This window comes from Homo sapiens, chromosome 14, assembly GCF_000001405.40.
Source record: "Homo sapiens chromosome 14, GRCh38.p14 Primary Assembly".
NCBI classification, from domain to species: domain Eukaryota; kingdom Metazoa; phylum Chordata; class Mammalia; order Primates; family Hominidae; genus Homo; species Homo sapiens.
Genome location: NC_000014.9, coordinates 21,725,458 through 21,750,115, shown reverse-complemented (window position 1 = coordinate 21,750,115; position 24,658 = coordinate 21,725,458). Strand labels below are relative to the sequence as shown.

Genomic DNA, 24,658 nt, shown 5'->3' with positions numbered 1-24,658 from the left:
ATAATTTCCTGTTTTTTCCTATACCGTGCACTTAATATATTTATAGTTAGAAAAAGTTAATAAATACTAATGTTAAAAGATAAAAGACTCCATCAAGGAGAGGATTCTCTGACACCAAGATGTCCTTGGTAGGGGAGAAATCATTCAGATGACTTTATGGCACCCATAAAGTCAACCCTAAGACCAGGATATCAACTAAGAAATCATTAACTCCCAAAAAGAGTTTAATCAAAATGTTCTGAAAATCATTAAGTCATTTTGAAACTGACCTTTTAGGATGTTTTGTAATGTCCGTACATTAAAAATACCTTACAGCAAAATCCCTGACTTAAAGGTAAAGGAAATAGAGTGTGGCTTTAGTCCCAGGTGCAGGTTTGGGTACAGGATACAGGTGCCTGAGAAGCAATGTGTACTCTCTGCACAGAAGTAGATAGCTGAGTCCCCAGTCTGGGTGTCTGCAATGCGCAGAGACAGATGTTTATCCTTTTTATTCAATAGAACAGTGAGTCTTTGGTCTTGTTTCATGTCCATATTTGAAAAAATATACGTCAGCAACTGGAGACCTGCTCCAGGTTCTTGCTTATACCAGTATAAGTAGGTGGAGGAGCTGTCTGTGTAAGTGCAGTTTATAACGGAGCTGTCTCCCTCTCGGACACTCAGGAAAAGACTCTGCTCCACATCCTCTCCTCTACTCATACCTGTGCAAAAGGAAAAGTCAGACAAGATCATCAGGCCATCATTCTCTGGAGTTTGCTTTTTTATTTTTTTCACTGTAGTAACTTCAGACATTCTGGAAAAGACCAGATGAGTCTCCTCCTCAGACTTCTAATGAGTATTTACTAAACCCTCTGTTCCCCAAAAGCTCTCGACTCACAGTCCAGCTGCAGCCACAAAAACAGGAACGAAAATCCAGCAAATGTCTTCATTGTTCTCCCCACTGGGACCTGCAATCTCCAGCCAAGAGAGCTATATTATCAAGTATCTCTTCCTTTCCTCCAAAGCACTGTGGTTTCTTAAACTGTCCACAGAGGCATCTGCTTCTGCCGTCAGCCTACTCACAGAAGTCAACCAAAAGGATCCTTTCGTACATTCTACATGAGCAGAGAAGCTCTGCCACCTTGTGGCCAGATCCCCAAACGCTAAACCAATTATCCTGTATCTGTGGGAGATTCTGGCACATCAAACAGCAGAAGGCCAAATAAAGTAAATTCCAAGTGTACCTCCAGTCAGAAATTATGTGGATTAGCAGACAGAAAAAGTGCAAACGTAGGTTTTAGAATTCCATTGCATCTTCTCGGCACACTACTGAGTCACGTTAAATATATTTGAAGAAGTTAGAGGTTTTTCGTGTTTATTAATGACAGTCTTCTTGAAATTAAGAAAATGCCATGATTCAGTCTACAAAGCTACTGAGGTATAAAACGTTTCCTCCTTATCCCTCTACTATTTTTTGAATTGGCCAGAAAATCAATCAGCCAAATTAGCCATCCTGTTTCAGCACTCACAGAGGAAAACTCTTTCTGAAGCTAGCATTTAAGCACAAAAATTGGAGTAAGACAGGTTCACTAAATATATCAGATGCATGCTATCTCAGGCTCTGCTCCTCCAAGCCTGGCCTTGTTCCTGTTCTTGCCATTCCCAGGAAATTGACAGTGCCAGAGGTCAAAACATGAGTGTTGTTTTCTTCAAAATGACTAAATTATACAATAAAAGATAAAAGGAGGGAGAAAGGCTTCCATGAGTTAATAATATTGGTCTAATGAAAGGAAAGAGTTTAGCCTATAGATTGTGATGAAAAATCTGACATGCACTCTGAAATATTTTCCTCTGGAAGAACAGATCATCTGAAATTACGGATATGTGGCTTACTTATTGCAAAGTATTGACATAAAAGAGGAAACATCTCAGGAAACATCAGACTACAGATTGAGATAATGTAAACAAATGTACACCTTTTCCAAGTGTATTCTTATTCCTATTGTCAGAATGAGTGGCTTGTCCTCAAATGTGATCACTGAATAATGAATGATCTGTAGTGGAATTTCCCCTCCTGTTACCCTGGGCACTGCTAACTCAGATTTCAGACCCAAAAACTTTTCCCTCGATTTTATTGTCTATTGCTAAAATCATTGTTTGGATATTCCCCTGTGATAAAGTCCTTCAGTATTTTAAATTTTCTATCCAAACCCTACATCATCTATTTTAATTTCTTTAGTCTTTCTGATTCATTCCTGTAATAATAAATATAAGTAAGCATAAAACCAATGCCTGTTAGTAGCATAATATATGTAGGAAACTGACAATGGCAAATTTACTCTCCGTCCAGGGAAACTTGGTCTGACTGTTTTTCACAAGTTGGAGTCCCTTCCCTGTGCTTTGACTTAGTAGATCTCCAAGCAATGTAGAAAATTAATCTAATTCCTCATCTGCATGGCATAACTAATATATCTCAAGTGTGATTATACAGAATCACTTTCCTAAAATACAAAGATATGTACATATTACAAAATGTATTTAGATTTATATACATCAAATGTATTTATTTAAAGTTTTCATTTAAATTGTTTTATCCTTTTACTCATTCATCATATCATATAATTCCCAGATCCTTTATCATATTTCTTAGTTGCATTTTCCTTGAACTTTTCTTAACAGTTTAGGTCAATATCTGTCCTTCGGATATATAGCATGCAGAGTTGAAAATACTAGTCGTTAGGTGGTCTGCTTCTGTTCCACCTATTTACTATAACTCTACTCACAATTATGGTCTGGAAAAATTTCTACCCCTATGATTTTTTCATAAAATGTTGCCTTATTGTCAAAAACAATGGCATGGAATAGCTTTATTTTCTAGTACTGACATGGATTTCAATATGCATAAGCAATGTTCATTTTGCTCCCAATTTATCTACTTTTTCTTTCCCTTGGTCATTTTTTCTTTCACTCTGTATGTGATGCACATTATATTTATAAATACAGGATAATGAGTATAATTTGTTATTAATAATATGAAATAGAAAGTACACCTGAGTGATGAGGTTAGTTATAAACAGTCCTTGGCCTACTCTTACTTATGTCAGAGAGTGAATTACTGATTTCCTTGTAGTATGAGAGTGGCTGACCCTAGCTTTCCTATTCTTTTCAAAATTCTGAACATGTATTGTCTGGTTGGCATAGATCAATGGTCTTATACATGGTTAGGGGCCAGATAGTGTATGCCCATGCTATGGGACAGTGTCTCCCCGCTGGCACACCAATGTAAGACCATAATAACTTGGCACACAGTATTCAGTGAATGTTTTTTCAGTTAAATTGGATCCCAGAGTTTCAGAGCTATTAGGACCCTTAGGATTCTGTAGTCCACAGTTTGTCAATATTAGCACTAACATTTGTACAAAATAATTCTTGGTTGGAAGCTCTCCTGTCCATTTTAGGATGTTTAGAGCATCTCTGACCTCTCTCCACTAAATGCCAGTTTCAACTCTCTGTACGACAATAAAAAATATCTCCAGATATTCCAAAATATCCCCTGAAGGATAAAATTGCTCCCACAGGGGAACCACTGTTCTAGCCCAATCTCACTCACAAATTTAAAAAAATTGAATCTAAGGTAAGTTTAGAGTCTCAACAAAATAAAACAATTAACTAGTTTTTAAAAAAAAACTAGAACTTGAAAAAAATATTTTTCCCACCTCCCTTCATCATTCTGTTTACTTCCTCACTTCAGGACCACATTGCTTAACAAAATGTACAAATTCAGGAACTGTGCTACAATGAGAATCCTGAATCACCAGAACTGGAGTTTGGCCTAAGACTCTGCATTTCTAACAAATTCCAAGGTGATGCTGATGCTGATGATTCAATGTGGATGACTACAGATGGGGCCGGACTGCCCTCCTTCTATTTTCTGTTTTGTGTTGGGTTAGAATTAATTCTTCATTAAATGTTCTATTCAACTCACCTTTGAAGCTACCTGAGCCTAGAATTTTTCTGTGAAATTTTAAGGGGTTTTTTGTTTGTTTTGATTGGTTGTTTGTTTTTGAGACAGTTTCACTCTTGTTGCCCAGGCTGGAGTGCAATGGTACAATCTCGGCTCACCTGCAACCTTCACCTCCCAGATTCAAGCGATTCTCCTGCCTCAGCCTCCCGAGTAGTTGGGATTACAGGCATGTGCCACCACACCCGGCTAATTTTGCATTTTTAGTAGAAACGGGGTTTCTCCATGTTGGTCAGGCTGGTCTCAAACTCCCAACCTCAGGTGATCCGCCCAACTCAGCCTCCCAAAGTGCCAGGATTACAAGCATGAGCCACCGCGCCCGGGCTATATTTTATCATTTTTTACTTCAAAATATCTTCTAACTTTCCTTGCAATTTCTTCTTTTCTCAATGGGTGACTTAGAAGTATATTGCTTAATTTGCAAATATTTGGGGATTTTCTACTGTATACCTTGTTACTGACTTCTAAATTAATTATATTGTGGTGAGAAAACTGTAGGATTCTAATCCTTTCAAATCTATTGAGACTGTTTTACATCTAAAAATATGGTCTGTTTGATGAACGTTCTGTGTGTACTTGAAAAGAATGTATATAGTGCACTTGGTGGGTATAGTGCTCTATAAATGTCAATTAGATCTAGTTGATTGTTCCAGCCTTGTATATTTTTACTGACTTTCTGTCTTCTTGTTCTATCAATTACTAGAGAGGAGCCTTACAGTCTCCAACTCTGATTACAGATTTGCCTATTTCTCCTTTAATTCTGTTAATTTGGTTTCATATATTTTATAACTCTACTATCAGTACATAAACATTTAGAGAATATTATCTCTTCTTGATCAAGTGACCCTCTGTTTATTATTAAATAACGCTTTTATCTCATAACACCCCTCATTTTCAAATATTATTTAATATTAATAAAGACACATAGCTTTCTTATGGTTGCTATTTGCATGGCATAGGTTGCCTCTTACTTTCAACTCATCTTTGTCTTTAAAGTACATTTTTTGTGAATGACATACAATTGTGTCTTTTTGTCTAGTTTGAGAAAATCTCCCTTTTATTTGGAATGTTTATGCTATTTACATTTAATGTAATTATTTTTATTTGGTTTGAATCTACAATGATAATCCATTTTCTATGTTTTTCCTCTAGTCTTTGTTAATATGCCCTTTATTCTCCCTTCTTTTGATTTATTTGAGAAGTTTCTATACTCGTTCATTCTATTTCCCCCATTGGCTATTAGCTAAACCTTTTTGCTTTGGTTTTTTAATTGTTTATCTACAGATTATCATATGCATCCTCAGTTCATCAGATTCTCTCTTGAATTAATATTATACAGCTTCATACATAATGCAAGAATCTTACAACAGTTTAATCCTATGCCCCTTCAGTTTTTTGTGTTATTGCTGTTGATTTTATTTATATATGTTATTAACGGTGTAATACATTGTTATTATTTTTGCATTTGTCAACTGTATTTTGAAAAACTTAGAAAAGTAATCTCTTTTTAATGTTTCCACATAGTTACTATTTTTAATGTTCTTTATTACTTCCTTGGGTCATAAATTCCATCTGATATCATTTCCCTTCAGTCAACAAACCACCTAACAAAAATACTTTATAATTTTTGAAGTATGACTCTGCTGATAACATACACTCACAGCATTAATTTATTGTTAAATGTCCTTGTTCTAGGGTATAGACCTATTTGTAGGGTATACCCTTTAGTCCCAGAGTATTGTTCTTATTTTTAGGGCGTGGTCCTTCTGGGTTTTCATTAGAAAGCCTAAGTTTTTACCCAACCTCTTTCACTTGGCAGCACTTGCATTTAAAATTCTATTGCCCTAGTTGAGGGTAACTGCTAAAATCTTTTCTCTCAGCCATCTGGCTGCTGTTTTCTACTTACTTTCTTAGAGTCTTGTCTTATGCCTGCACAGCTCAAGAATCAACCAAGGGATAGTTTTATTTTTTTTAACTTGTATAAATTTAGGAGCTACAAGTGCATTTCTTATACATGAATATAAAGTCTAGGCTTTTAGTATAGCCATCACCTGAATAATGTACATTGTACCTATTAAGTAATTTCTCATCTCTTACCCCCCTCCCACTCTCCCACCCTTCAGACTCTCCAGTGTCTATTATGCACTCTCTGTGTCCATGTGTAAACGTTATTTAGTTCCCACTTATAAGTAAGAACATACAGTATTTTCTGTTTCTGAGTTGTTTCACTTAAGATAATGGCTTCCAGTTCTATCTATGTTGCTGCAAAAGACATGATTTCATTCTTTGTATGGCTGAATAGTATTCCATTGTGTCTATATACTATATTTTCTTTATCCCACAATTAGGTTGATTCCATATCTTTGCTATTGTGAATACTTCTGTGATAAACATATGAATGTATGTATCTTTTTGATATGATTTCCTTTTCTTTGAATAACACTCAGTAGTGAGATTGCTGGATCAAATAGTAGCTATATTCTTATTGCTTTGAGATATCTCCATACTGTTTTCCACAGAGGTCATCCTAATTTACATTCCCACCAACATTATATAAGCATTCCCTTTTCTCTGCATCCTTGCCAATGTCTGTTATTTTTTTGACTTTTTAATAATAGCCATTCTGACTGGTGTAAGATGGTATCTCATTACTTTTAATTTGCATTTCTCTAACGATTATTGATGCTGTGCCTTTTTTCATATGCTTGTTGCCATTTCTATGTCTTCTTTTAAACAATTATTCATGTCCTTTACTCACTTTTTTTATGGGGTTTAAAAAGTGAGTAAAGGACATGAATAATTTATTTATATATAAAATATATATAATGTGAATAAATTTTATATATATATATATTTGGTTTTTGTTTTTTTTTTTTTTTGGAGACAGGGTTTCTTATATCACCAGGCTGAAATGCAATGGCACCATCATGGCTCACTGCAGCCTGGACCTCCCAGGCTCAGTTGTACTTTCTGCCTCAGCCTCCTGAGTAGCTGGGAATACAGGCACACACCACCATGCCTGGCTAATTTTTGTATGTTTAGTAGAGGCAGGGTGTTACCATGTTGCCCAGACTGGTCTCGAACTCCTGGGCTCAACCAATCCACCTGCCTGGTTCTCCCGAAGTGCTGGGATTGCAGGCATGAGCCACTGCACCCAGCCGGGTTATTTGTTTTTTGTTATTTTTGCCGAGTTCCTAACTAAGTGTGGCTTTGTAAGATTTTGTAACTCCTCACACTGTGAATCCTTCTTTTCCTGGATCCCCCCTTGAATTTCAGCTACTCTGTCAGCACCGAACTCCAAACTCTGACTCCTAAATCCAATAAGACAGCTGCTTTCTGCTTGAGCTTCATTTCCATGTGCCATACACCATACAGGGACTTCACTCAGTGTGTTTCTGTCCAAGTGACATATCTCCCGCAGTATATTCTTATATTTTGTCACTGTTTGGAACCTTCAAACAGCATTTTTAAATTTTTTTCTCATTTGTGTATTTCCCAAATATTCACAGTGTTATTTTATACATATTACCGACAAATCATAACATTTTTTCTTCTTGTTACTTAAAAAACATCCCTCACATAACTTACTTTACCACTCTTTATGCCGTTTACTTGCAAACATCGGTGCCTATTTACATATATTAAATTTCCATTTGATCAAAGACAGATAATAGGTTGTTTAAAAATCCTAAATTTAAGAGAAATTTGTTTTCAAATGAAAGATGAAAATTTAGGGTAATTATGTGTTTCCATAGTCATCTCTTTTTACAAGCTCCTTAAAACACCTATTAACATATGAATTTTAACATACGCAGAAAGACTCTCTCATTACAAACATCAACAAGTATAAGTGAAATCAAATTTGGAATTTTTATCCGAATGTATTACTATTGTCTATACAAATTAAATCTGTTGGAAGAAAGAATTCAGAGTATATTGAGACTGTTTATGACAGTTTATTACTTGTTTATTTATATTAGGGCATTAGTCATACTTCACAACACCTATGATCTCAATTCTATCAAATTATGAGGGTTAAACTATATAGATTAAACTATATAGCTACAGTTTTTAATTAAAATAGCTTCTACTACCGTTCAGACAAATTAGCATAATTCTAAGAGCTTATCAAATGGTTTTCAGTTTTACTAATAGCAAATTAAGCTAACTTTGCCACACTGCTAATAAATTCAAAATGGCAAAACAATGTATATATTCAACCTCTTAAATAAAATGCAATGTTTATAAATAACTTTTCCAAGGCTGTTAAATTTTGTTTAATATTTTTCTGATCATAAAACCTACCTGAGCTCTGCCTCCTGTCAGAGCAGCAATGGCATTAGATTCTCATAGAAGCGCAAACCCTACGGTGAACTGTGCATGAGAGGGATCTAGGTTGCCTAGTTCTTATGAGAACCTAACTAATTCCTGATGAGCTAATGGTTTCATCCCGAAATCATCCTCACTCCCTTGGTCTGTGGAAAAATTGTCTCCCATGAAACTAGTCCCTGGTGCGAAAAAGGTTGGGAACTGCAGCATTACAGGACCTCCCACTAAAGAAATTTTGGAAAATGCCTCTGAAATGAGGAGTTTCATGGTAAATTCTCCTTTGCCTGCAAGTAACATGAGAGATCAGGAGAGCCACTTCAGTGGTCCCTGCCCCTCAGCAAACGCAACTATGACTTGAGGCAACTTTTTCCTACAGAAGTTTAACTTTCTCTCTCCAGATTAGAGAATGCAGTTTGTACTAGGCAGTTTTCCCGGAGGATTAGCGGTAACACTGAGCAGAAAACAATGGCCAAATTAAAGCAGGAAAGTACATAAACTGGGTCCAATACTACTGAAATAATTTATCAAATAATTTGTCAAGTAATTAAATGAGTATGGAATATGTGCACAAATAGCAATGAGAGGACAGATAGAGGCAAGACAGAGACCCAAATTCTTAGAGAAATACGCAATTTCAGATTAGTGAAGACAGGATGCGTCGCTCAATAAATATTGGGGAAAAATAAAACTGGGTCGCTGCTCCACTCCATATTCTAAAAATAAGTTTATGATTGTCCACAAAGTTTCCATGTATGAAAACAAAGCTACTAACATAATTATAGAAGAAATATAAATTGAAGGTTATTTATAATAGCAAGGCAACAAAGGCCTTTTTAAGTGATACCAACGCCAGAAGCCATTAAGAAAAAAAGTCAATATATAAAATTTCATGAAAATTTTAAATGCAGGAATAAGAACACTAATGGATTATATCATTAATCCTTTCCAGTTGAAGTTATTTTCCATCTGTCTCTTCTGACTAATTCTTCTTTTCACACTATAAGCTCCCACCCAAACCCAGAAGTAGTATAGTAGACACAATTGACCACTCCTTGAAACATTTTCTTGTTTTGCCTTCTGTGACAGCACATTCTATTGGCTTCCCTTCCAATTCACTAATAGACTTCGATCTCCTTTGCTGATTTTTCCTTCGCTATTAAACCTCAACTGACAGTCCAAGTGCTCAGGTTAAGAACCTCTTCTCCATCCACACTCTTTCCCTAAGTGATCTCATTCAATGCGTGGCTTGAACACTATCCCATAGGCCAGCTATGTCCTCTGTTAGCTCCAGGCTCAATATGGAACTCCCTGGTCAACAACTACAGTTGAATGCCTTATAGACATCTCTAACTTAACATATCTGAAATGACACTTTTACCTGCCTACTATAATCAAAAATATTTCCTCTCTCAGAATTCCCTATCTCATCTTCCATGTAACTACATAAGCCAAAAACTTAAAAGTCATCATCGACTCTCTTTTTTTCCCCATCTGCCATATACAAATCATCATTAAGATCTATTTTTTACCTCCAAAATATAAGTTAATTCATCCATGTTTCTTCATTCCCACTTCTACCACCTAGTCTATACCTCCATCAGGTCTCACTGGGTCCCCTGCAAATTCTAACTGTCTTTGTGCCCTAGTCTCTCCCCATGCCAACCCTATGAGCCATTCCCCAGAGCACGAAGAGTGATCCTTCTAAAATATAAATTAGGTAGTCAAATACTTCCCAATACATGTAGAATAAAATCTGAATCTAACCATGATTTACAAGGCTTTGTATTTTCAAGTCCATAACTACCTTTTTGACATTATTTCCTACCACTCTCCTTCTCACTATATTCAGGGAACACCAGCTTCTGTCATAAATGCAGCAAACATGCTCTGCCTAAGGACCATTGTTGCATTTGAAAACTCTTTCTTACCCCAGGTCTTAAATGGTTTTGTCATTTTTCTGTCATTCAAGATTCAGCTCAAATGTCACCACTAAATGACCTCCATAACCACCATGATTCTCCTTCACATTACCCTATTTTGTTTTCCAAATGTCACTTATATTTGGAAATCATTTTTTTCTTTGTTTGTGTTGTCTGCCCACAGAAGAATAAAACCTCCGTTTGTGCAGAAAACTTATCTATATTGGAGAATAAGGTACTTCCTCCATTACATCATTGCCTATCACATCATAATACAAAATAAACATTTGCTGAGTAAATGTACTAATGAGTTCCAAATGAAATAATTTTGGCTGTTTCTCTCTCAGAGAAAAAAATAATGGTATGACCCTGGCCTCATTTTTAAAATTTTTTTCTATTTCACAGCTTTAGGGGTAAACGTGGTTTTTGGTTACATAGATGAATTCTATAGTGGTGAGTTCAAGGATTTTAGTGCACCCATCACCCAAGTAGTGTACATTGTACCCAACAAGTAATTTTGCATCTCCCTTTCCCCTCCCAACATCTCCCCTTCTGAGGGGACATCATTTTGTTTAAAAAAATCATGTGATCTTTCTACAGAGAAATAGCAGATCAATTTATTGATCAATTTATTGATCTTTTTGTCACAGACCAAGAGTTTTAACTCCCAAAAAAATGTTCTTGTATTGGCTCAGGTCTTTTTCAGTTTCTGAAGAGTCTGAACACCCAGTATGTGATGTCATCCTCCAAACAGCTTTTTGGGTTGGCAGGTGAGGTTTAATAGCAATGATAATGCAGGATATAGATAGCATTAATCTGATGAGTGCTGATTAAACCAGGACATTCTTAGTGATAGTCTTTTAACCACAGAAGAACCCTGGAAAAATAGTATTATGACCCTCATTTTATAGACAAAGTATTAAAGCTCAAATGCCAAAAGTATTTGACTAAGGTCAAACTCTTTACAGCAGGAGATCTCAGATTCAAACCCAGGAATGCCTGGCTTTAGAGCTGATTATTTTTCCAGTCTGTTTTGCTGCCCAGAGCATGTAGTAAAAATAAAGTACAACTAGAATTAGAGTGCCCCTTCTACCATCCCTCAGTGGCTGTTCAACTCTTTCTTCCAAAATGGCTAACATACAGATACCTGTTCATAAAAGCAGACCTTGAAACAAAAGCTAGTTGTGTTGTTTCCTCACAGTCAGTTCCTCCTTGAAACAACCTGGACCGTAACCCGGCTCCCCATCTCCACAGCACAGCTCTTTTCCTCTGGACTACCCCAAAGGCATCATCCAACCAAGATCCCAAGAGCAGGCATGGGATGAACTCCAAGTGGGTAGAAAACATTTTGAAATTTTCCAATCCAATATTCCACCTTTTCCAGATCAATTATCTACAGAATAGTATAGTATCTTCTTTAGATAATCCCACACAGCCTCTCATACGTGGGTATTGATTTTCATAAGTAGGCAGGAACATTACAGAGATGTCCCTCTATCCCACTCTCTCAACTCTTATGACTGGAGTGCGGCTTTGGGCAGAGGCTCTCCAGGGACTTTGGAATCACTCTGAGCTTCTCACAAAGATGTAGGTGTCAGAGTCGCCAGCCTTTGGGTCTGTTTTGTGCAAAGGGGTGTATTCATTGTCTTTATTCAAATGAACTGTAAATATTCCTTCCTCATTTTCTCCATTGAGAATATGAAAATCAGAAACCCTAGGCTTTTTTGAGGATATTGTCTGTGCCACATGAAGTACTGGAAATAGTGGAGCACTTCAGAGAAGAGTTGGCTGCATCCTGGACATTTGGGGACCAGGACTCCCACTTTCTGCCAGCTCCTCGTCACTGTGTAGAGAAGTCAGACAAAGGAGATGAGTGTATAGGCTCGAATACTCTACAAATGTTTGTTTTCTTTCCACAATACTACTCCCCCACCAAACCCTCAGATGAACTAGATGGAAACCTCCTCCTGCCACATAGCCTGATCCTCTCATTCTCAATAAAAAAATTATCAAATATTGCTTTCCTTGTGATCAAAATCAGAGACAACATCCCACAAAAAACAAACAAACAAAAACATACCCCATGATCCTAATGAAGCCTCAGGAGCCCAAGCAGGATTTTCAGCAAATTTTCTGTTATTCTTCTCTCTTTGGAGCCTCAAAGAACCCAACTTTAAAAACTAATAATGATCCAGAATCCATTTCTGATTTAAATGTTTCAAAAATAGTCTACAATGCAAATCAGAAACAAATTCTCTCCCATCTCCTCCTCTACCATCACCTCCATTTTCCATTACATACCATCCACAATAGGGAAGTGGGACAAAAGAAAAGAGAAAGACAGGCAACAGAGAGAGTGAGAGATCTAATCTCAGGGGACGCATGGAAACCAGCATGTAGATACTTGGAAATGGCCACAGAAATGTTCAAAATGTGTGCAGCTATAAATAATAACCTGATACTTAGGCTAAATGTTTCAAAAGCTAAGAAGCATATTGCCCATGTTGACTGTGCGTGGTATGCATATAAAGTATATGTAGTGTGTGTCTATCTATACACACAAACTGAGGAGTACCAGTGAACTTAGCAACAATAGTATAAATACCACAGATACCTCACTTTGATAATTGAGTACTCAGGGACCATGGTGGAAGGAAGACATCATGCTGTATGCCCTTTTATACTTTTTTAATTTTAGATCACATAAGTGAAATACCTATTTAAAAAATAAATAAGATTGATTTTGCAAATAGTAGAAGAATACATAAATTTGCTAATACCTTTTGAAAATAAAAATTTTAGAAAGCACTTTTGGACTTCTTTCTAGGCTGTGACTCCCACCCCACAGAGGAAAACGGCACAGGTGCAGGCCCATCTGTCTCACTGTGTGTCACCCACGAGGCAGTAGTACACAGCAGTGTCGCTCAGGGAAACCCGGGGCAGGCTCAGAGTGCTGGACTTTCTGTCGGCAGGGATAAACAGGGAGGCCACTTCGTTTGTAACTTTTGTCTTGTATCCTTGAATAATAAATCGTGGTCCTTGGCTGGGAAACTGTTGGTACCACGTGATATAATCATTTGTAGCAATGTTGTTGTGGCTACAGGTTATGTTCACTTCTTGTCCTTCATATGAGTCCATGGAGATGGGCTGGGTGGTCTTAGCAAGGCTCAAAGTACCTATGGGAGTAAAACACAATCCTAGCCCCTATCCTGAAAGCAAGGTAAGTTAGACGGTCCCACTCAGTAGCCCCACGGTTCCCTCTCACAGTCAAATCCATCCCCACGCTCTACTTCCCTGCCATATACATGTACATACAATTTACTTCTCATTTATGTTTCAGTACAAAAATATTTATCCCAGGCATACACAGAAGTGTCAGGTTTACTATCTCCCTCCCATGGATAGACCCTAGGGATTAGAAACCCCGAAAATCTTTGCTGCCCTGAGACACATCTCACATAAATGCTCAGGAGCTGCCTGGAGAAAAATGGAACCCTGAAGCTATCCCTCTACATCTTGGATAAAGAGCAACTGCTAGCAGGCAAAGTTCCAGATTCCTTTCCAGCATCATCAGGCCCAGATCCCATTCCTCTTCATCCCAAAATAACTCACTCAGGGTCAGGAACACGATCACTCTCGCCACTTGCCTCATATTCTAGGTGCAAACTAGGACCCAGGTTCTAGGCTCTTTTGCTGTGTCTGAGCTGCAATGAGCCCAGCAGCAACTGCCAGGGCCCACACCAGCAGCTGTCACTCAGGCTGCCCCAGTACAGCAGCCAATAGCAGGGCAGCAGCTCCTCAGAGCAGGGCTCCCCTCAAAGTTCAGCTAAAGCCCCAAGAAGAGTAGGGAGTGAAAACTGCTGGTACTGAAGCACAGCAGCCTGAATTTCATTTTAGATCTTTGCAGAGGTCTAATCCCTTAAAGATTTGGTCCAAATGAGGCAAAGCTATGAGAAGGTAGATTACATTGGGCTCCTATTCCCCATTACATTACTTTCCACAGCCCGAGAGGGTGGTCATGTACTGTAGTCGGTCTGACACTCATGGACTCATTGACAGTCATGGTCTAAGTGTAACCTGCCTGACTTGTTACTTTATGCCCTGCAGTGCTCCACTGACCCCTATTTAGCCAAGAAGAAACAGGGATTCCTAATCCTATTCCAAGAAAGAGCAAATGAGGCAGTCTGGACTGGACATTCCATCTCCTGATTCCCTGGGATCATTTATAATCCCACTAAGTCCACAACTAATACCTTCTTCTCAGACCCTGTGTAACAGATATTAAACAGAGGAACAAACCTCTCATTAGTCCCTGCTGACCAGCTAGGATAGGACATTTGGTCTGGAATCACTCACTTAACCAAGGAGGAGGTAAGGTGAACAAGAAGAAAAGGCACAGGCTGTGTCAGACAGATCTAAATCTAAATCTCAACTCTGCCACCTTGTGACCTCAGGCAGCTCACTCCTCTGAGTCTTGGTTTCTTCATCTGTAAAATGGGAACAATAATATGTATTTCAGGGTTTCAATCTGTGGCACGTAGTCAACAGTAAATTATAGTTCCTTTCCCTTTCTTCTCATCTGATTCAGAGCGCAGAGTACCATGGCTAGTAGAAGGCAGTCGTGTAGGATTATATATCTAATTTTTTGTAGTTACTGTACACACTTCCTTCAGGAAATAATTAGTATAAATCCTATAACAGAAGCACAAAAACTGAAAAGAAAAATAAAGCCATTCAGGAAAAGAGCCGAAAGACACAGTAGTATTCATTGAATCCAAAAGACACAGTAGTACTCATTGAATCAGCCAAATGCTAGAAACAAAACCTGTTACATACTCACATTAATATGGAAAAGATAGTGGTATGTTGTTTGAGTTCTTTTCTCTTATAATATAGGAATGAAAAAAATCACTGGAAAATATTTGGGAGGTGCCTCTTCTAGGTCTAGAATTGCCGAAAGCATTCTGAATCAGCAATTTTTCCATTTTCCCATGCAAAAAAAAATCAGTGAGTGTTGATGGCTTCTAGTAACATTTTGACAGAGGAGCTATCACAGGTCATGAAATAAATAACCAGGCTTTCCTCAGTAACAAGTGAAGGAGCAAAGATGTTTTTATGAGGGACCTGAAGATACTAGAACACCTTGTACAGAAATGAAAATAAATGGGTTACCCTTTAAACGCAACTCGTTGCAACAGCGACCTCTTGTGGTAACTATACTCAGAAAAAATGTTTCACACAAGTCAGTAGGTCTCAGATCGGCACAATTTATGGAACGTCACATTTCTTTGTAAACGCAATAGCAGAGAGCTTGGTTTGGACTATGAAGTCTATTTTCAGTTATGGAAGAAAACACTGAGTGATAAGTTAGACACACTGAATTGAAACAATCCTTTGGATTTGATAGCTGTGAGATTTTGTTCAAATCACCATTTGAGAGGCACAATTTCTTCATCTCGGCAACAGAGATTATAAGGATTAAATGAACATAAGTAAGTTATTTCTAAACGAGAGTGTTCTATAAAAATACAAACTATGGGCCGGGCGCTGTGGCTCACGCCTGTAATCCCGGCACTTTGGGAGGCCGAGGCGGGCAGATCACGAGATCAGGAGATCGAGACCATCCTGGCTAACACGGTGAAACCCCGTCTCTACTAAAAATACAAAATTAGCTGGTCGTGGTGGTGGCACGCGCCTGTAGTCCCAGCTACTCGGGAGGCTGAGGCAGGAGAACCGCTTGAACCCGAGAGGCGGAGGTTGCAGTGAGCTGAGATGGCGCCACTGCACTCCAGGCTGGTTAACAGAGCCAGACTTTGTCTCAAAAAAAAAAAAAGAAATACAAACTATGTTTAATGCAGGAAATATCACCAAGCCAAAATGGTCTTCCTTTTTCAGGCCAAAAAACGGAACTTGAAGTTTCCGTGTTGCCACCTGTTACCTCACTTTGGAGAATATTACTGGATACCAGGCAACTGGAGGTAGAAACACTGGAAGTTTTTCTATCCCTCAGCCTATGGAATGAAAGTAATTACTGATGGTAGTGGTGTGTTGTGGGTTGAATTGTGTTTTCCTCCCACCCAAAAAATATATATGCATATTGGAGTTCAAATCCCTAGTACTTCAGAAGGTGACCTTATTTGGAAACAGTTTTTACAGGAAATCAAGTTAAAATGTGGTATTTGGGTGGGCTCGAATCCAAACTGGTGAACGATGACTGGTGTCCTTACAAAAAGGGGGAATATGGACACCGAAATGGACAAAAACAGAAGAAAAATTTGAAGAGGTACAGGGAGAAGATGGCCATCTACAAGCCAAGAACAGAGGCGTAGAACAGGTCCTTCCATCACAGCCCTCAGAAGGAAACAACCATGCCAACACCTTGATTTTGAACTCCTGTCCTCCAGAACTGTGAAACAATACATTTCTGTTGCTTAAGCCACCCAGTTTGTGGCCTCTTGTTACCACGGCCTTAGCAAACTAATATATGGTGCTAATAATTATATTATATATTATATGTTAAGTAGGTTGTGATGGTTGACTTTATGTGTCAACCTGGCTAGGCTAAAGGATACCCAGGTGGCTGGTAAAATGTTATTGTGGGGTGTGTCTGTGAGGGTGTTTTCAGAAAAGATTCACGTTTCAACTGGTAGACTGAGTAAAGACTACCCTAATCAATGCAGGTGGGCATCATCCGATTCACTGAGGGCCTGAATAGAACAAAAAGGCAGAGGAAGGACAACTTTTCTCTCTCTCCTTGAGCTGGGACATCCATCTTCCCTGCCCTCTAACATCAGTGCTTCTGATTCTTGAGCCTTTAGACTTGGACCAAGATTTATATATAACCAATAATTACACGTATATTCCAATAAATATACATATTCCAATAAATATTTATGTATAGATAGATAGATAGATAGATAGATAGATAGATAGATAGATAGATGATAGATAGATAGATAGACATCCTATTAGTTCTGCTTCTCTGGAGAACCTTAACTAATATATATATACTCCTTTGCAAAACATTTTTTGGTGTTCAAAAGTGTTTGGGTGAACACATAGGAGCATATCACATACATTAATGTTGTTTTTTATGTATATTGTAATAAAAAATTTAGACCATTGTTAAAGCAAATTTTAGAAAGTTCCTAAGGTTATGGAAGAAAACCACGCCCTATAGCAATAGCCAACTACAAGAGGGATATTTTAAATTCTTTTTAAGTGGGATTTTTTTTCTGGTTAGAAGAATAATGAATTCTAAATACAGAATTTGGAAAATATAGGAAAGTGTTTTAAAATCACGTGTAATACCATATCCCAGAAAAAAATCATTGATAATATTGAGGCATACCGCTTTTTAATCCTTTGTTTTTGCATGACTATTGTTAGCACAATTGAATTGTGTGCACATGAACACACACACATTTGCACATGCTGGAGGTTTTTTCAACTTAATATTCTTTTCCAAACTTTTTTTTTGTCAACAAGTATACATAAAAATCCAATTTTAATAGCCTCAACATAGTCCATGGTACAAATGTGCTATAACTTATTTACCAATTTCTTTAGTATTAGACATTTGGATTTTAGAAAGAATACTATCATAAAAACCTTTGTACATAAATCTTTGTCTAAACTTCCAATTATTTATTTAGACTAGCTTCTGCAAAGAGGATTTCCTGGATTCGTGTAAGAACATTTTAAGAGTCTTGGGAAGTATCCATTTATTCAATAAACAAATATTTGTGGAGCCCCTTTTACAGTCAGGCACTGAGGTAGACACTGGCCATTCAATGACAAGAAAGACCCAGTGGTCTAGTGAGAAGGAAGAGGATTTTAAAAGCAATGATAGTCCTCATGATAACAGCCATAGTAGGGAAAGCATAGAGTACTATAGCAACACAAGGAAGTGAAATGGTTTTGGTTGTAGGACTGCAGGAAGACTTCCCAGAAGGAGTGACACTCACCTAAACTAAAACCTAAGAGAAGAGGAAGAATGAGCATGATGAAGACTGAGCTGAATAGAAAGAGGCAGAAGGCACAGCATCTGGACAGGCTTGGAGCAAGAGAGTGGATGGCACTTGGGTAGATGATGGTCCTGTTGTTTGATATGAAAAACACAAAAGAAGGAGCAAATTTATCTTGTTTTGTTTTGTTTCATATGGTGAAGTGGGGGAGAAAGGAAGAAAGATAAAGAGCTAAGCTTTGCACCATTTGATTTAAGGTGCTTCTGGAAAATTCACACAGGTCAAAAACCCAGTTTGATATATTAAACTGAAGCTCAGAAGAGATATATGAGCTGAAAATAATCAGCAAATAATAGTGGAAGCATGAGCATGGATAATATTACCCAGAAAGAATTTTTGACTGAGAAAATAAATAGGTCAAGGGAAGAATCCTAAAGAACACCAACTGGCGGACCCCTGAGGCCAGGAGTTCGAGACCAGCCTGGCCAACATGGCGAAACCCCATCTCTACTAAAAGTACAAAAATTAGCTGGGTGTGGTGGTGGCAGGCACCCGTAATCCCAGCTACTCAGGAGGCTGAGGAAGGAAAATCGCTTGAACCTGGGAGGCAGAGGTTGCAGTGAGCCGAGATCGCACCACTGCACTCCAGCCTGGGCGACAAGAGCGAGACTGTCTCAAAAAAAAAAAAAAAAAAAAAAGAACACCAACTTTAAAGAGTGTTGCGGGAAGTCAGGGACCCCAAACGGAGGGACTGGCTGAAGCCATGGCAGAAGAATGTGGATTGTGAAGATTTCATGGACATTTACTCATTCCCCAAATTAATACTTGTATAATTTCTTATGCCTGTCTTTACTGCAATCTCTAAACATAAATTGTAAAGATTTCATGGACGCTTATCACTTCCCCAATCAATACCCCTGTGCTTTCCTATGCCTGTCTTTACTTTAATCTCTTAATCCTGTCAGCTGAGGAGGATGTATGTCACCTCAGGACCCTGTAAGTATTGCATTAACTGCACAAATTGTACAGCATGTGTGTTTGAGCAATATGAAATGTGGGCACCTTGAAAAAAGAACAGGATAACAGCAATTGTTCAGGGAATAAGAGAGATAACCTTAAACTGACCGCGGTGAGCCGGGGGGAACTGAGCCATATTTCTCTTCTTTCAAAAGCAAATGGGAGAAATATCACTGAATTCTTTTTCTCAGCATGGAACATCCCTGAGAAAGAGAATACGCGCCTGGAGGTATAGGCTTATAAACAGCCCCCTAAGTGCACCTGTCTTTTATGGTCGAGACTGCAGAGGTGAAATAGACTCCAGTCTCCCATAGCGCTCCCAGGCTTATTAGGAAGAGGAAATTCCCGCCTAATAAATTTTGGTCAGACCGGTTGATCTCAAAACCCTGTCTCCTGATAAGATGTTATCAATGACAATGGTGCCCGAAACTTCATCAGCAATTTTAATTTCACCTCGGTCCTGTGGTCCTGTGATCTCACCCTGCCTCCACTTGCCTTGTGATATTCTATTACCTTGTAAAGTACTTGATGTCTGTGACCCACACCTATTCGCACACTCCCTCCCCTTTTGAAACTCCCTAATAAAAACTTCCTGGTTTCTGTGGCTTGTGGGGCATCACGGAACCTACTGACACGTGATGTCTCCCCCAGACACCCAGTTTTAAAATTTCTCTCTTTTGTATTCTGTCCCTTTATTTCTCAAGCCGGCTGACGCTTGGGAAAAATAGAAAGGAACCTACGTGAATATCAGGGCAGGTTCCCGATAAAAGAGTGAGCAGAAGAAAAGCCCATGAAAAAAGACAGTGCAGGTTCAGCCAAAGATATAAGAACATCAAAAAGAAAGAGGTAGGCTGGGGTTTCACACATAGCAGAGCAGCTCCCTCACTGTGATCTATTGAAAATCAGCTCTCAAATTTTTTTTTTAAAGGGAAAGTGGTATACCAGAAACCGAAAGAGGACCAGGTTTCAAAGAGGGAATAATCAATCATTCATTGGATGTAACCCAAGAAACTGTTGTTAACCCTGGCAAGAATAGTTTGGGCCAATGGTGGAAGTTAAAACCACACTTCAGTGGGTAAAAGAGCAAGTAAAAAGTGAGAAAAGAGACACAGTGAAGATTGCCAGATTGCCTCCCAAAAGCATCATATGAGTTTATGCCATCAATAGTACACTTCAGTACCCATTTACTCTTTGTCAATATTGTTTATACAGTTTACAATTGCTAATTTAATAGTTAAATGAAATATCACTTTACTTAATACTTGTTCATTACTTATACTGCAGAAGGAGGCATTTTGCAGGATATGTGTGGGATCCCTGCAGTGCTGATGACAGCAAGTGACCACAGCTTACCTATGGCCTCTCCTGGAATTCATGGTGGAACCCCACCAACTCTTGCATATCACAGAAGCACAATTTTTGAGAATTAGAATGGAATTCAAAGATTCTTTCAGAGAACCCAGTGAAACTCACTACACAATCAGGGAAAGATGAGAGGAGGGAGGACTGAATGTAGCATGGGAAGACTGCAGGGAGAGGTGTCTCCCTTGTATCCAGGCAGAGACAGATTCTCACATGGATGAGAAGATGACTGTCTACATAGTGTTCTCAGCAAAACCAGGACAACTTTTCTTCCCCAAAACGTGTTTCCCTACCTTTACTTTCTCTAAAATGCTTAAAAGTGTATTTCAAGGACAAAAGCTGTGATTCCACAAATAGCTTTTTTAAGTTGGTGCTTAAACGCAACTTAACTACAATGTACACAGATAATATTAGCTCCTTTTCTGAAAGCAGTTTTCAGGTATCGAAGATTAAATTAGAATACAGGGCCAACTGATGTAACAAAGGCCAAAATAAAGTAATTTATCATGATACAGTTCAAATGTCAGCAGTTCAGGGCAGTTATAAGGGCTCCACAGTGTTGGTGTCTTAGGTATCTGATTGCTCTGCCCACCTAAATACCCACTCTTATTTGGGGTCCAAGACATATGTCACACATAAAGCAATCCTCACAACAATCCTTCCAGTTATCTCAATTTCATTAATTAAGAGATGAGGCACATAGAGTAGAAATGGCATGTCCAATGTCACATAGTTACTTAGAGGAAGAATCAGAAACAACCTATGCTCCCTAATTCTTAATTCAGTTCTCTTTCCACAAAGTTCTTGAAGTGATATAAAAGGGGGGAGAAAAATAAACCTTATGAAGATAAGTTTTCCAGAATTTCTCATTTTTCCTGAAGTTTATCTGTTTATAAGGAGTATTTCCCAACAAACAGGAAAAAGGAATGCTAGACTAACTTTTCTTTAAGTCAAAACAGAACTTCTAAAAAGACATAGTTGTTCCCTCTGAGCCACCTTAAAAAAGGGGGAAAATATAGATTCTCATTTCCCTACATAACTCCCCTCCCATCACCACCACCACCAATCACTACCACATGACAAAAGATTAATATCTAAGGCTTAGCTTAACCTTGGAGAATTTTCCTGAGAAGGAAATCATCTTGAGAGTTGTATCTCTTTGACTAAGAAGTAGTTCTGTTTGGGTAGGGAAGTGATATGAACACGTGTGCAGCCTGGGGAATGACTGGAGGGAAAGATTTGTTCACCACTGCATCTGCAGGGATGATAACAATGCCAAGCACATAGTCAAAACTCCACAAATAATCATTGAGTGAATAAGTGAATAGCTAAATGAATAAATACATCATAATTGTATAGAAAGACTTCTTTCCTTTGCAGGACTTGCATAAATTGTATTTATAAGTATCAAAGGCAGAAACAGGCCACACAGCCAGGTCAATGGTGTAATGTGATAAAAATATCCCTGTGGACATGAACTTCCTTTGGAGTGAAAACAGTGATGGTGGCTGAGAGCTTACCTAGAGTTATGGCAACTGTATACTTAAATCTAAAACAGATACCATGGTTTCATGAATACAAATGTATTCTGGCAGTAATGGTACAGAACACTGCCACCCTTAGACCTGAGCAAGTGACGTCCCTGCTCAGAGTTCTGTGCCTCCACCCCAGCTATTATTCAGCTATTCTTATCCCTTTCCCTGTGAGAAAATCACAGGACAAAGGAGACATAGCCCTTTAGAGTCTAAATACCTCTTCTTGACCATATTCTGGGTACTAGGATTTCAGAATTCCCTGCACAAACATCCCCAAACACACTTTTAAGATCTGCATGGGCCTATCTCAAGGATTATCTTCCCAGAAGCAGATATCCCACCTGTGTACACAACTCTAGGCCCAATGGGTGGCCAAAAGATCACTGTTTGCCTGGACTGTAGACATGTGGGCTAAGGTGTCCACATCCTTGTGTATAAGGCTTCTCAAGGTATGTGATGGATTGAAGGATAGGAAAAGAAGGCTGGTAAATCACAAGGTACAAACCAAAGGCTGCAGGGTGAATCTCCCTAAAGCAGCACATTCTAGCACAAAACTATAAAAATCAAGAGTTCAAAAGTAGATCTGAGTATATCTAGGAATTTAATGTACTATAAATATGGTATTTCAAATCTATGGGGCAAAAGTGAATTTTTCAGGAGGTGGTGTAAGAACTACTGGCTATCCATTTGGGGGAAAAAATAAACAGATGTAGATCCCTGTGTAAAAATTAACTTATTTGGGGACATACTCCTTTTAACCAGGCAGTTCAAAATAGAGCTGCTAACTTGCAGAATCCTCACTCCCACCCCCAGCCACCAAAGGTGGAAGCCAAGCTGGGCTAATCCAAGCAGCCTGTACCCATGGCCACCACTGATTAGTCCAAGGAAAAGCCACCTAACTCACACTGAGTCAAACAGAGCCCTTCCCACGACACTCAAATTTGGGAAAAGATAAAGAGAGAAAAGTGCATTAAGTCCAGTTCCTCTCAAGAGCATAAGGAAGATGTGAACATAGGAACCGTAAGCAACTATCCTTATAAGAACTACACGTTTATACCCTTCCTTGATTCAAACTCTCCTCCCATTACAGACTGCTTCTGTCTTCTTTCACAGCTAAGCTATTCCTATATCCTCATCTCATAGAGCATTTTTTGAATTCTCTATCTTGGCACACACCAAACTGTTTAGAGTGTCAGTGTATTGTTCATTCATATAACCAACACTTTTCCGACAGCGACCCTTTCTGGAGTTAGGGCTACACCATCACCAAAATCAGTCTCTTGCCCCAAGAAGCCTATAGACTGGCAGAGGAGTGGAGTAGTTGGACCATGTGCCCTACAGACACACTGCCTGGGTTGCAATTTACCAGTTATTAACTTTGTGACTTGAGCAAGATACTTAAATTCTCTGTGACTTTGCTTCTTCATCTGTAAAGTGAAGCTGATGATAATACTTGTGAGAATTAAATGCGTTCATTAATGTTTGGAAACACACCTGGCACATAGAGATCAAAGATAGCTTCTTTCAATTCTTTTTTAAACTGACAAATAAAATTGTATATATGTATGGTATACAACATAATGTTTTGAAATATGTGTACATTGTGGAATGGCTAAATCAAGCTAATTAACGTCTGCATTACCTCACATACATATCCTTTTTGTGGTAAGAACACTTAAAATCTACTTTCAGCAATTTTTAGAAATTTCTGTTGCAGCTGGGCGCGGTGGCTCACGCCTGTAATCCCAGCACTTTGGGAGGCTGAGGCAGGCGAATCACAAGGTTAGGAGTTCGAGACCAGCCTGGCCAACATGGTAAAACCCCGTCTTTACTAAAAATACAAAAAAATAGCCAGGGTTAGTGACGGGCTCCTGTAATCTCAGCTACTTGGGAGGCTGAGGCAGGAGAATAGCTTGAACCTGGGATGTGGAGGTTGCAGTGAGCCGAGATCACTCCACTGCACTCCAGCCTGGGCAACAGAGTGAGACTCTGTCTCAAAAAAAAAAAAAAAATTCTGTTGCAAATACATTATTATTAGCTATAGTCACCATTGCAGTAGATATCTTGAACTTATTCTTCCTATCTAATTAAAATTTTGTGTCCTTTAACCAACATCTCTCCAATCCCTTTCCATTCCCCTCACAAGCCTCTGGTAACCACAATTCTATTCTGCTTCGATAAATTCAACCTTTTTATTACACAAATAAGTGAGATTATGTGGTATTTGTCTTTCTGTGCCTGGCTTATTTCACTTGACATAATGTCCTCCAGGCTCAATTGTGTTGTCACAAATGGCAGGATTTCTTCCTTTTATAAGACTGAATAGTATTTTATTGTGTTTATATGCCATGTTTTCTTTATCCATTCATCTAAGTATAGATACTTAGATTGATTCCATATCTTGGTTATTGTGAATAGTGCTGCAATAAACATGAGAGTGCAGATATCTCTTTAACATACTGATTTCATTTTCTTTGGATATATGCCCAATAGTGAGACTGCTGGATCATACAGTAGTTCTATTTTTGGTGT

At 38.5% G+C, this 24,658-nt stretch overlaps 2 gene segments (V, D, J or C) and 1 further gene, besides 8 other annotated features; all 3 read right to left on the bottom strand.

The window, feature by feature from the left end:
- Positions 1–24,658, bottom strand: part of TRA (T cell receptor alpha locus) — a 930,229-nt gene that overhangs the window by 802,017 nt on the left and 103,554 nt on the right.
- Positions 372–380: a recombination feature (nonamer).
- Positions 381–403: a recombination feature (spacer).
- Positions 411–926, bottom strand: TRAV5 (T cell receptor alpha variable 5). The segment is given in 2 exon segments: positions 411–698; positions 875–926. Coding segments are annotated over 2 exon segments (340 nt in total), but the record flags the coding sequence as incomplete, so codon positions are not given.
- Positions 688–698: a sequence feature (TRAV5 leader sequence).
- Positions 875–926: a sequence feature (TRAV5 leader sequence).
- Positions 13,095–13,103: a recombination feature (nonamer).
- Positions 13,104–13,126: a recombination feature (spacer).
- Positions 13,134–13,897, bottom strand: TRAV4 (T cell receptor alpha variable 4). The segment is given in 2 exon segments: positions 13,134–13,421; positions 13,858–13,897. Coding segments are annotated over 2 exon segments (328 nt in total), but the record flags the coding sequence as incomplete, so codon positions are not given.
- Positions 13,411–13,421: a sequence feature (TRAV4 leader sequence).
- Positions 13,858–13,897: a sequence feature (TRAV4 leader sequence).